General features: G+C 41.5%; 1 protein-coding gene across 3 annotated transcripts in view; it reads right to left on the reverse strand.

Annotated features, from left to right (window-relative positions):
• The window catches only part of FKBP15 (FKBP prolyl isomerase family member 15), a 60,272-nt gene that overhangs the window by 44,744 nt on the left and 1,694 nt on the right, over window positions 1-13,834 (reverse strand). For 2 of the 3 annotated variants that reach the window (NM_015258.2, XM_006717018.3), the window contains exons 2-4: window positions 5,728-5,843; window positions 1,463-1,547; window positions 760-829 (exon numbers count right to left, since the gene is read on the reverse strand). In NM_015258.2, the coding sequence (NP_056073.1) occupies window positions 760-829; window positions 1,463-1,547; window positions 5,728-5,843 (271 nt within the window). The remainder of the gene's footprint in view (window positions 1-759; window positions 830-1,462; window positions 1,548-5,727; window positions 5,844-13,834) is intronic. The other variant, XM_006717019.2, reaches the window with a different exon arrangement.

A 13,834-nucleotide genomic window follows, 5' to 3' on the forward strand; every position in this document is an offset into this window, starting at 1 on the left:
AAAAGGTATAAACAACCCAGTGTCCATCAACTGATGAATGAATAAACAAAATGTGGTATATACCTACAATGAAATATTTTTCAGCCATGAAAAGGAATGAAATACTGATGCATGCTATAACATGGGTGAACCTTCAGGACATTATGTGAAATGAAATACATCAGTCACCAAAGACAAATACTGTTATGATTCCACCTATATTAGGTACCTAGAAAGGGCAAATTCATAAAAACAAGAAGAGATTTGACCTTATGGGCAGCTGGGAAAAAGGAAGAAGTAGAGTTATTGCTTAATGGTTACACTTTCTGTTTGGGAAATGGATAGTAGTGATGGTTGCTCAATCAATACTGTGAATGCAATTAATGGCACTGGATTATGCACTTAAAAATGGTTAAATGGCAAATTTTATCTTATATATACATATGTATGTGTATATATATGTGTGTATTTGTGTATGTGTGTGTACACACGCACCCCACAATTGAACAACAAACAAACAAAAAAATGCCCAAATTCTTAAGCTAGGATCATATCACAAAGGTCAAATTTAACAATTTTGAATGGTTGGATTTGTTTTAACGCACAATAGTAAGCAAAATGTGATCATTTACTATATGCTTGATGTTATAAATTAACATTCAATACAAATAATCATCCTTATCTTCTGATAAACAAGACATCGGGCAAGCCAGATAAAAGCCAGCTCATTGGTATTATTTGGGACATCTGAATATACATGAGATGTGGGAGCACTCTCACCTCTCTGGCTGTGTGGTTCCCCAGAACTGCAGCACCAAATTTGCCCTGCTTTACATATTGACCATTTGTGCTATAAAAGGAAGAGAAACAACAAGTATTAATACTTCCCTAAATTCTGCAGAACCAGCTTTCTTTTCTGTCATACAGAAGTGGGAACAACAGTCATTCAGCCTCTAGGCAGGGACACAGGTGAGCGGTTTAAAATTTTTTTTTTTTTTTTTTTTTTTGAGACAGAGTCTCGCTCTGTCACCAGGCTGGAGTGCAGTGACATGATCTTGGCTCACTGCAACCTCTGCCTCCCAGGTTCAAGCAATTCTTCTGCCTCGGCCTCCCAAAGTGCTGGGATTACAGGAGTGCGCCACCGCACCCGGCCCAGCAGTTTATAATTTAAAGCTCATATACTATTCCCTTACTCTTTAAATATAAATATCTATCATTCATGCTATCTCAGTGGAGAGGCTTTCTTTGAGCATTTGACAGCTGTTGAGGGTACAAGCACTCCCTAAAGACAGTAGACAAGATAATGGCTTTTCAAGTTTTACCACAGAAATCTCCAATTCAGATGTTAAAAGTTCTACTGATATTTTGTCCGTGGAAGGGCTAAATAACCGTTTTGCAACAAACAGAGGTTTTTCGAGAAAAAGTAGCTTAACTGCACGCCCTTCCACCAAACTTCAGAGGGTGTTCCTTCTCAGCGACTTACTATCGATATGCATGGACTGCTGTTGCGACCAGTATTGTGGGAGTGCTCATGGTGGCTGGTGCTGTTTTTGGTGTTGCCTGATTTCCTGAAGATGAACAAGAAAACAAAGTTGTCATTCACTTCTTGCTTTAAACTAATTTTTTTTAAAGACGGAGTTTCACTTTGTCACCCAGGCTGGAGTGCAGTGGCGTGATCTCGGTTCACTGCAACCTCCACCTCCCGGGTTCAAGCCATTCTCCTGCCTCAGCCTCATGAGTAGCTGGGATTCCAGTTGCGTGCCACCACATCCGGCTAATTTTTGTATTTTTAGTAGAGATGGGGTTTCACCATGTTGGACAGGCTGGTCTTGAACTCCTGACCTCGTGATCCACCTGCCTCAGCCTCCCAAAGTGCTGGAATTACAGGCGTGAGCTACTGTACCTGGCCTTAAACTAATTTTTAACCACTGAACTAGCTTCAAAATTGATCTTTATAATTTACAGTCAGTGTTGTAATGCTTTTATGATTATCCTTATTTGATCCACAAAGCAGCCCTATGATCTAGTCTGGGGGTGAAGAAACTGAGGTTCTAATCACCCAAGTGCCTCACACAATTATACCATGATAGTGCCTAGGTCTGAAACCCATGACTCCAACTCCCAACCCACACACCCCAAATAAGTCTTTGGCTAGACAAGGAGTACTGTCTAAAAAGTGATAGTCCATCTATTTTATTTTCTCCTTCCAGTATTTTGACAGCTATAATATATGAAAATAAAGTTATTTCCCCTTCCCTGTCTTCTAGGGTGGGAAATTCAGTAAGATATTTAAATCACACCCATTAATTAACTTCACAAAGTACTACAGAGTAGGCTGGGCGCAGTGGCTCGTGCCTGTAATCCCAGCACTTTGGCAGGCCGAGGCAGGTGGATCACGAGGAGTTCGAGACCAGCCTGGCCAATATGGTGAAACCTTATCTCTACTAAAAATACAAAAATTAGCTGGGGGTGGTGGCGCGCACCTGTAGTCCCAGCTACTCATGAGGCTGAAGAGGAAGAATCGCTTGAGCCTGGGAGGCAGAGGTTGCAGTGAGCTGAGATCGCACCACTGCACCCCAGCCTGGGTGATGGAATGAGACTCCGTCTCAAAAAAAACAAAAAAACAACAAAAAAAAGGGACTACAGAGTAACACTAACATTTTCAAATACCATGTTAAGAGTAAATCACATTTATACTCACTATATGAATGTGATGGAAGAGTAGTGAGATAATACTGATGCGGACATGACATGCAAGAACTTATATTTTGAAAGAACTCGTTTGATTTTTTCTGTATTAACACTTTTTTTTCTGATTATAGAGTACAAGTGCATTGTAGGAAACTTAGAAAATACAGAAACACATAAATTAAAATGCAACATTTTTGTGTGTACTTCCAGTTATCTTCTTATAATAAATTCCTTAAAATGGAATTATGGGGTAAAGGAGTATAAAAAATTTAAGGTTTGGTTACATCCTGTCCAACTGTTCCTCAGGCTGGACGAGATGGCTCACACAGGTAATCCCAGCACTTTGGGAAACAGAGGTGGGCAGATCACTTGTGGTCAGGAGTTTGAGACCAGTCTGGCCAACATGGTGAAACCCCATCTCTACTAAAAATACAAAAATTAGCCAGGTATGGTGGGTGCACCTGGAGTCCCAGGTACTTGGGAGGCTGAGGCATGAGAATCACTTGAAACACAGGAGGCAGAGATTGCAATGAGCTGAGATCATGCCACCGCACTCCAGCCTGGGTGACAGAGCGAGACTCCATCTCAAAAAAAAAAAAAAAAAAAAAATTCCCTTGAACAGAGAGGGACTTCTGTATTGCTACTTTATTTATTTGTAAATGCCTAAAGAAAACTGTATAGGCAATCTTGCTTCTATAGCTCCCTGCTAAAAGTGTAATAAACTCATAGTTGCTGTCTTCTGATTTAAATAATCAAGTTAGCCAGGTGCAGTGGCCAGGAGTTCAAGGCCGTAGTGCACTGTGATGGCACCTGTGAATAGCCACTACATTCCAGCCTGGGCAGCAAAGCAAGACTCTGTTTCTAAAATTAAGTACAATAAAAAATAAAAATAAAAAACCAAGTGTTTTCATTGGGTGGGAACTAAGGTTGTTTCTTTTTCTCCCATTAACTCAACCACTTTAACTCTGAAGCACACTGCTGATGAAGAGATGTGCCACAGGAAATATAAAAGCATAGCCTACTAGAAATCTGGCCAGGTTATGAGTTGGAGAATAAGAGAAGCACCTACAGCAAAACTGCCTAAAGTAATAGGTAATATTTAAAGCAGGGATCGGCAAACATTTTCTGTAAAGGGCCTATAGGCTGTGGTATAATATGAAATATGTTTGGTCTTTGTCCTTGGTTCCTGACACACTGCTCCCAAATCCCTTGTAATTTCCTGAGTGATAAGAGTGGTAGGAACATCTTTTGTATAATCCAATTTTAGCCAGCATGATAAGGAAGGAAGTCTTCTCTGCTTTAACCTACACAACAAAAGTAACTTTGAAATGACCAATTGTTTTTTGTTCTGTTTCTGCTTTCTTCAGCACTTTTCTGCCTATAAAGCCAACCTCCTCTGCTCAGCTCATCACAACATTCCATTTTATAGAATGAAGTGTTGCCCAATTCTAGAATCTCAAATAAAAGCCAATTAAGATCTTAAAACTCCATGTGTTATAACTGTATCTTTTGACAATGCTAATGAGGTGACTTAGAGTGGGGCCCTAGAGGGGTGGAGGCTCAGGATGGAGCCTACAGCTAACCTGTCCAGATAAAAGAAGTGAAAAGTAGGTCTTCCTTCTCACCAAAACACTGGACAGTGCCTACTTAGAGTGCCTTGGACAGAGTTTGGGAGAGCGGTGTCCATATGGGGCAGAAGGCCTTGCTTTCGAACCTCTCCATCAGTTCCCAACAAAGCGCACGCTATCTAGCTGCTAGAAATCAGGATCCCAGATCTTAGAGAAGCACTCACCACTGGGGGTGAGCTTAGCCAGACTGGTCAAGGATACACAACCTGGCATGTCACTTTTGGAAGGCTGCTAACCCTTCCATCTAACCTGTTAAGGCACAATCCTAGTGCCAGTTGTGATGGCTTTTTTTTTTTTTTTTTTTGAGACGGAGTCTTGCTCTGTTGCCAGGCTGGAGTGCAGTGGCGTGATCTTGGCTCACTGCAACCTCCGCCTCCCGGCTTCAAGCAATTCTCCTGCCTCAGCCTCCCAAGTAGCTGGGACTACAGGCAAGCGCCACCATGCCCAGCTAATTTTTGTACTTTTAGTAGAGACAGGGTTTCACCATGTTGGCCAGAATCGTCTCGATCTCTTGACCTCGTGATCTGCTCACCTCGGCCTCCCGAAGTGATGGCTAATATTTAGTGTCAACTTGATTGGATTGAAGTACACAAAGTATTGTTCCTGGGTGTGTCTGTGAGGGTGTTGCCAAAGGAGATTAACATCTGAGTCAGTGGACTGGGAAAGGCAAACCCACCCTCAATCTTGTTGGGCACTATCTAATCAACTGCCAGCGTGGCTAGTATAAGGCAGGCAGAAGAAGGTGGAAGGGGCTGACTTGCTGAGTCTTCCGACTTTCATCTTTCTCCTGCGCTGGATGCTTTCTGCCGTCGAACATCAGACTCCAAGTTCTTTGGCTTTTGGACTCTTGGACTTACACTAGCGGTTGGCCAGAGGCTCTCAGGCCTGCAGCCACAGACTGAAGGCTGCACTGTCGGCTTCCCTACTTTTGAGGTTTTGAGACTCGGACTGATCCACTACTGGCTTCCTTGTTCTTCAACTTGCAGACAGCCTATCATGGGGCTTTACCTTGTGATCGTGTGAGTCAGTTCTCCTCAATAAACTCACTTTCACACATACGTATATTCTATTAGCTCTGTCCCTCTAGAGAACCCTAATACACTCTTGTTTTTATTTTGTTTCAGTTTTGTTTTGTTTTTTGAGACAGAGTCTCGCTCTGTTGCCCAGGCTGGAGTACAGTGGCTCACTGCAACCTCTGCCTCCTGGGTTCAAGAGATCCTCCGGCCTCAGCCCCCCTAGTAGCTGGGATTACAGGCACACGCCACCACACCTGGCTAATTTTTGTATTTTTTTTAGAGATGGGGTTTTGCCATCTTGGCCAGGCTGGTCTCAAACTCCTGACCTCAGGTGATCCACCGGCCTCGGCCTCCCAAAGTGCTGGGATTACAGGCATTAGCCACCTCGCTCGGCTAATACACTCTTAACTTACCTGTTGCTGCCGTTCCCTGGCCTTTCTTAGGCTGTTTTGGGGCTGTGTACTGGAAAAATTCATTTCCATGGCCAGCAGCTGCCTGATCCAGTCCAAAAAGTGAGGCCAATCTGGCACTGTTAGTAGAAAATGAAAAATGAAATTTCACTGATATATCCCAAACCTGGAATTATTATAAAAGCTGCTCATCTCCAACCTTGAACAAATACCTCCTTGACTACATCCCACCATTCAATACTAGAAACACTTCAAGCTAGGAAAGCTGATTTAAAAATTAAAAAAAAAAATAAATAAAAATATTGGACACAGCAAAGTGTCTTTGAAATCAAGATTGTGTATGTGATTTGAACATCATCAGTTGACCCTGTTTATCCCCAGGACCTTGGTCAAGGCATTTCTTTTTTCTGGACCTCAGTTTTTCCACCTATAAACTGAAGTGACTAGTTCAGGTGCTCTCTATGGTATCTTCAAACTGTAAATTCTTGCTTTTAGCAAATCACAGTTTCTAGTCACCCTTACTGACTACTCCCCCTCCTGCTTTTTACTAGTTTATTCAATTGAAATGAAGCTATGATACAAACTTACCCATCAAACATGGTCCCTGCCATCCTTTCATCTAACAGAACCATTCTTTCATCATCCCTTGCAAGAAATCTTATCCCCCACCATTCCACTGAAACTGATCTTGCTAAAATCACTAAAAATTTTTTTGTTTGTTTTTGTTTTTTTTTAGATGGAGTTTCACTCTGTTGCCCAGGCTGGAGTGCAGTGGTGTGATCCCGGCTCACTGCAACCTCCGCTTCCCAGGTTCAAGTGATTCTCCTGCCTCAGCCTCCCAAGTAGCTGGGACTACAGGCGCGTGTCACCACACCCGGCTAATTTTTGTATTTTTAGTAGAGACGGGGTTTCACCATGCTGGCCAGGCTGGTCTCGAACTCCTGACCTCAAGTGATCCACCCACCTCGGCCTCCCAAAGTGCTGGGATTACAGGTGTGAGCCACCAGGCCCATCCGATCACCAACAACTTCTTTGCTACTAACCCCAGTTTACCAGTCCTTATTTCACCTCATACCACCTTTTTATACTGTCAATTAACTTGTTCTTCTTCAAATTCTTCTCTTGACTTCTGCAGGGGTTGTGGAAGGAACAGGTCCAAATAAGATATCAATAAATACTAATGCAATCCCTGGCTTGTTTTGCCCCATTTCTCTGGCTTCTCTTTAACCCCTTGGGCTCTTCTTCTTCATTTGCCCAATCTTTAAATGTCCATGTCTCCAGGGCTTCATACTTTCTCTCCCTTGGTAGGGTTTCATACTGTCTCTCTGTACTCATTTACCTTGGTATCAAATGCTATCCAAATGCTGGTGATGCTCAAATCTGCATTCCCAGCCCAGAACTTGCTCTTGAGTGCCAGAAAACATAGATATCCCACAGGCAATACAAATGTAACATGTCCAAACCAGAACTCATATCCTCCAATGCCCACTGCCCCAGCAAAACCTGTTCTTCCTTTTGTGCTCCAAGACCACTGCCAGGTTCAAGGATTCTAGAGAAGGACTCAATGGTCTCAGCATATAGTGGTACTCATGGCTAAGATCTATTACAAAAAAATATACAGAAAAATCAGCAAAAATAAAAAGTGCACAGGTCGGCTGGGCACAGTGGCTCATACCCGTAATCCCAGCATTTTGGGAGGCTGAGATGGGAGGATCACTTGAGGTCAGGCGTTCGAGACCAGCCTGACCAACATGGTGAAACCCTATCTCTACTAAAAGTACAAAAATTAGCCGGGCGTGGTGGCACGCACCTGTAATCCCAGCTACTCGGGAGGCTGAGGCAGGAGAATCGCCTGAACCAAGGAGGCAGATGTTGCAGTGAGCTGAGATCACGCCACTGCACTCCAGCCTAGGCAACGAGAGCGAAACTCCGTCTCCAAAAAAAAAAAAAATTATCCAGTCTTGGTGGTAAACGCCTGGAGTCCTAGCGGCTTGAGAGGCTGAGGCAGGAGGCTCAACTGAGCCCAGGAGTTTGAGACTACAGTGAGCTATGATCATGTCACTGCATTACAGCCTAGGTGACAGAGCAAGACCCTGTCTCCCCCGAACCAAAAAAAAAAAAAGGATTACTAGATTATCATAAATGTCATGGGAATGAGACTGGTGGCGTTATAAGAAGAGGAAGAAAGATCTGAGCTAGTATGCTTGCCATGTGATGCCCCATGCCATCTCAGGACCCTGCAGAGAGTTCCTACCAAGAAGAAGACCTTCACCACATGCAGCCCTTCTGACCTTGAACTTCTCAGCCTCCATAACTGTAAAAAATAAATTCCTTTTCTTTATCACACTTTAGGTATTCTGTTATAAGCAACAGAAAACAGACTAAGATATCAGCCAAGAGCCAACCTTGTAAGCAGGGCTTTTTAGGAATAATAGTCTCAGGCTTGCTGTGTTAACTCTTTAAAACAATTTTTTTTTAGAGACAGGGTCTCAATCTGTCACCAGGCTAGAGTGCAGTGGGGCGTTCATGGCTCACTGCAGCTTTTGCCTCCAGGGCTCAACCAATCCTCCCACCTCAGCCTCCCAAATAGCTGAGACTACAGGCATGCACCACCACACTCTAGGGATTCTCCCACCTCAGCCTCTCAAGAAGCTGGGACTACAGGCATGCACCAAGAAACCTGGCTAATTTCTATATTTTTTGTAGAGACAGGGTTTCACCATGTTGCCCAGGCTGCTCTTGAACTCCTGGGCTCAAGTGATCCACCCACCTTGGCCTCCCAAAGTTCTGGGATTACAGGTGTGAGCCACTGTGCTTAGCCATGAAATGTATTTCTTAAATGGTAAGACCTGATCTGAGGTGCAGAATGGATGTTGTGTTAGCAGGCATGAAAACAACATTAATCTTATACATCTCCATCAGAGTTTGTGAGTGACCAAGTACACTGTCAATGGGCAGTAATAATTTGAAAGAAGGCTTTTTTTTTCTGAACAGTGGGTCTCAACAGTGCATTTAAAATATTCAGTAAACTATGCTATAAACAGATGTGCTGTCATCCAGGCTTTGTTCCATTTGCAGAGCACAGGCAGAGTAAATTTAGCATAATGCCTAAGGGCCCTAGGATTTTTGGAATGGTACATGAGCAACGGCTTCAACTTTAAGTCACCAGCTGCATTATCCCCTAATAAGAGTTAAGCCTGTCCTTTGAAGTTTTGAAGCCAAGCATTGACTTCTCCTCTCTAGCCATGAAAGTCCTAGATCTTCTTCCAATAGAAAGCTGTTTTGTCTACACTGAAAATCCGTTGTTTGGTGTAGCCACCATCACCAGTTCTCTTTGCTAGAACTTCTAGTAACTTGCTGCAGCTTGCAATCACTTGCTCCTTCATCTAGCACTTTCATGCTATGAAGACGGCTTCTTTCCTTCAACCTCATGAACCAACCTCTGCTCACTTCCAGCTTTTCTTCTGCAGCATCCTCACCTCGCTCAGCCTTCACAGAATTGAAAAGAGTTAGGGCCTTGCTCTGAATTAGGCTTTGGTTTAAGGAAATTTGTGACTGGTTTGATGTTCTATCAGATTCCCTTAAACTTTCTCCATGTCAGCAATAAGGCTGTTTTGCTTTCTCATCATTTGTGTGTTCACTGGAGTAGCACTTTTAATTTCCTTTAAGAATGTTTCCTTTGCATTCACAATATGGCTAACTGGCACAAGAGGCCTAGCTTTTGGCCTATCTTTGTTTACACGCCTTCCTCACAAAGCTTAATCATTTCTACTTTTTTTAAAGCAAGAGATGTGCAACTCTTCCTTTCACTTAAACACTTGAGGTCGTTGTAGGGTTATTAATTGGCCTAATGCCAATATTGCTGAGTCATGGAGTATAGGTAGGCTCAAGAAGAGATAAAAAAAAAAAAAATAGAGAACTGCCAGTCAGTGGAGCAGTCAGAACATACACAACATTTATCAATTAAGTTCACTATTTTATGTGAGCGTGGTTTGTGGCAACAACAATTACAGTAACACCAAAGATCACACCATAACAGATATAATACCATTGAAAAAGTTTGAAATATTCAGAGGATATATGTGTGTGTATATATAAACATATATACATATGTGTGAATATATATGTGTGCGTGTGTGTGTGTGTGTGTGTATATATATATATATATATATTTTTTTTTTTTTTTTTTTTTTTGAGATGCAGTCTCACTCTGTCGCCCAGGCAGGAGTGCAGTGGCCCAATCTCGGCTCACTACAACCTCCGCCTCCTGGGTTCAAGCGATTCACATGCCTCAGCCTCCCAAATTGCTAGGATTACAGGCGTGCATCACCATGCCCTGCTAATTTCTGTATTTTTTAGTAGAAACAGGGTTTTGCTATGTTGGCCAGGCTGGTTGCAAACTCCTGGCCTCAAGTGATCCACCCGCCTCAGCCTCCCAAAATGCTGGGATTATAGGTGTGAGCCATTGCAACTGACCAAGAGAATATTTTTGAATATTAAGAGAATTACCAAAATGTGACACGGAGACACGAAGGGAGGAATTTTGCTGTTGGCAAAATGATGCCAATAGACTCACTCAACACGGGGTTGGACACAACCTTTATTTTGTGAAAAAAAAAAAAAAAAAAATCTGCAAGGCACAATAAAGCAAACCGAAAAAAAAAAAAAGGGGGTATGCCCAGTGTCTGGTATGTAACAGGCTCAGTAAATGAATTCAAAGTCTAGTCTGGCTCTGAGCACTTCTTCTCCAAAGGCATCCTTAGTTTAGGTGAAGTAAACATTGAAACTTCCCAACAAGTTATTTTGGCTTTTCAGGTTTTTTTAAAACAAGTTTTATGTATAGAGAAATATGCACTAGCATTTTACAAAATAAATTTTATATGACTTGAAACTATTACCTTCTTTTCTCAAAGTAGTCTAATGTAAGTTTAAGTTTCCTGTAAATAGGCCAGAAATGCCTACTGTAAAGGACTAAGAGGTTTAAATGAGATTGTAAACGCAATGCTTGAGTGAGAGCAGCGCTGGCCTAAAAAGACATCACCAAATGCTTATGGAATTTAGAAGACAGCAAGATTTGTCCTTTCAGGCAGGAAAATTCGGGCAAATTGCCTAAAGAATAAGATTCTGGAAGAGTTGGGTTTCACTATCTTTAACACAGTGAAAAATGTACAAAGCTTAGCACCTAGTTAAGATAACATAGCTTATGCACAGATTACTGATAAGAAATGAATGTCCTTGTTAGCTTCAGTAAACCATGAGTATTGGGCTTGCTGTTTTAATTTTGCAGGTATAGCCTTTTTAAAAGGAAAGACAAGAGTGTCATAAGTGAACTGTGTTTCCATAGATGTTCTAAAGACCAGCCAACTGAAGACTACAAAGTCGATCCAAAAGCCAGGTCAACCTAATTAGTTTTCAGATTAATTCCATTTTCTTTTTTTTTTTTTTTTTTGAGACGGAATTTTGCTCTTGGCGTCCAGGCTGGAGTGCAATGGCAGGATCTCGGCTGTGCAACCTCCACCTCCAGGCTTCAAGCGATTCTCCTGCCTCAGCCTCCTGAGCACCCGAGATTACAGGTGCCCGCCACCAGGCCTGGCTAATTTTTGTATTTTTAGTAGAGATGGGGTTTCACCACATTGGCCAGGCTGGTCTTGCACTCCTGACCTCAGGTGATCCACCTGCCTCAGCCTCCCAAAGTGCTGGGATTACAGGTGTGAGCCACCACGCCCAGTTTTTTTTTTTTTTTTTTTTTTTTTTAATGAGACGGAGTCTTGCTTTGTCACCCAGGCTGGAGTGCAGTGGCACGACCTTGGCTCACTGCAACCTCTGCCTCCCAGATTCAAGCGATTCTCCTACCTCAGCCTCCCACGTAGCTGGGATTATAGGCACCTGCCACCACACCCAGTTAATTTTTGTATGTTTGTAGAGACGGGGTTTCATTGTGTTGGCCAGGCTGGTCTCGAACTCCTGACCTCATGATCCACCTGCGTTGGCCTCCCAAAGTGCTGGGATTACAAGCGTGAACCACCACGCACAGTCCCATTTTCTATTAATATCTTTAATGGACTCTGCATCAACTTGGGAGATAAGTTACTTGTAAATTTTTAGCAGGGCATGGTGGCTCACTCTCAGAGGCTGAGACAGGAGGACTGCTTGAGGCCAGGAGTTCAAGACTAGCCTGAGCAATATAGCAAGAACCCATCTTTACAAAAAATTAAAAATTAGCCAGGCGTGGTGGCATGCGCCTGTAATCCCAGCTACTTGGGAGACTGAGGCAAGTGGATTGCTTGAGCCCAGGAGTTCGAAGCTGCAGTGAGCCATGACTGCACCAGTGCACTCCAGCCTGGGCAACAGAGAAAAACCCTGTCTCAAAAAAATAAATAAATAAACAAAAATAAATAAATTTTTAGATTTTTCCACTACTAAGGAACTCTCAAATGTACACAATCTCCCTATGTTGGCAAGAATGAGCTTGCTAACTCTGGACTTGAATCTATATTTATAATTCATAGGAAAAGTCATGACAGAATTAACTACATTAAAAAAAAATGTTAGACAATGCATTTAGTCGCCAAGGACCTCACCTCACCTCAGTTTTATATTTTCTTTCTCATCAAAAACAAAAACACATGCATTTATACTGTATCAATGTATTTTAATAAACAGAGATTCTTTTTGTTGGTAAAGTATTAATACTTTTTTAAACAAACTGACATCAAACATCCATTTCAATAATAACAACAATAGCACATAGGCAGGTCTGGTAGAATCTGCCTACCTGATTTCAGATCCAGGCTCTATTACTTTCTAGCTGCATGATCTTGGGCAATTTACCTCTCTGAGCCTTTCCCATTTGTAAAACGGATATAATAATTAATAGTACCTCATAGAGAGGAGTAAATACAATTATATATATATATATATATATATATATATATATATACATTTCTCATTTGTAAAATGGGCATAGTAGGTAAAATTATTTCATAGAGTAGAAGGGAGGAATAAATACAATAATGTCTATGTATTTCTTAGAACAGTGTATGGCATTAAGTAAGCACAGAGTACGTATTTATATACTTGTGAACACATCCTATTATCTCAAAATGTGGTTCAACTCAGATACCCCTGCAAGGGTGAAAGCATGCTTGATTGACACGGAAGTTGACCTGCAACCATAAACTGGTATTAGCATTAACATTAAAACTACAGAACTGGCAAAGGTCTCAAAGTTTATCTAGGTCAAACCTCATTATTGAATAGGTTGGGGTATGGAGGGACAAGGATGGAAGATAATCTGTCCAAAGTCACATTCCTAACTGGGGATAGAATCAACATTTGAATCTAGGCTTTTTCCTATCTTTTACAGAACTCAAAATGCTTTCTGATGATCGGTTAATTTATCTTTCTACCATCTTTAGACTGGTGATTTATCATTACTATGCTAATCGGATCTGCCTACACATACCTTTATAATCTAAAACAAATATATACATAATTGGCCCCTTAAAAATGCTTTGTGATTATTATTCCTGGATTGATTTTATTCTACTACTAAAATAAAAGTTTCTTAGGGGCAGAAACTGTGCCTTATTCCTATCTGGATTAGCTGAAGCCAAGTACTATTAGTTCATTACTATTACTTCCCACAACGGTGAGGAATGGGCTAAAACAAACTAACAAACAAAAACAAGGCTCCTGATTACTACTTCTAGATTAATAGTAAACTCTAAGAGGCCTAGAAACTCAGAAGGCAGATTATCAGATACTCCTACTTCTATTAGGCTTGAATATCCTTCATGAAATCAAGCAAATCATGTGTTTAAATCAAGAGACTTGGAACTTAAGCAAGTATACTTACAGTAATATATGGCTATAAAAGAGGAAGTGAAAAGTAGCTGCAGTATTCACTGTCATATGTTCTACTTCCTTAGAGAAAACCAAAAAAGGAATAGCTAAATCAGAGAATTGTGGTGAAACTTTCTGTATTCTCAGTGTTAAATTTGATTTGGTTTTCCTGATAACTGTGGGGAACAAAAATAAACTATAACTTTCCTCAGTATGTCTTTTACCATCAAATTAGCTGTTGTCTATGTCTAGGAGCACAGTCACA

This window comes from Homo sapiens, chromosome 9 (assembly GCF_000001405.40).
Source record: "Homo sapiens chromosome 9, GRCh38.p14 Primary Assembly".
Classification (NCBI taxonomy): Eukaryota; Metazoa; Chordata; class Mammalia; order Primates; family Hominidae; genus Homo; species Homo sapiens.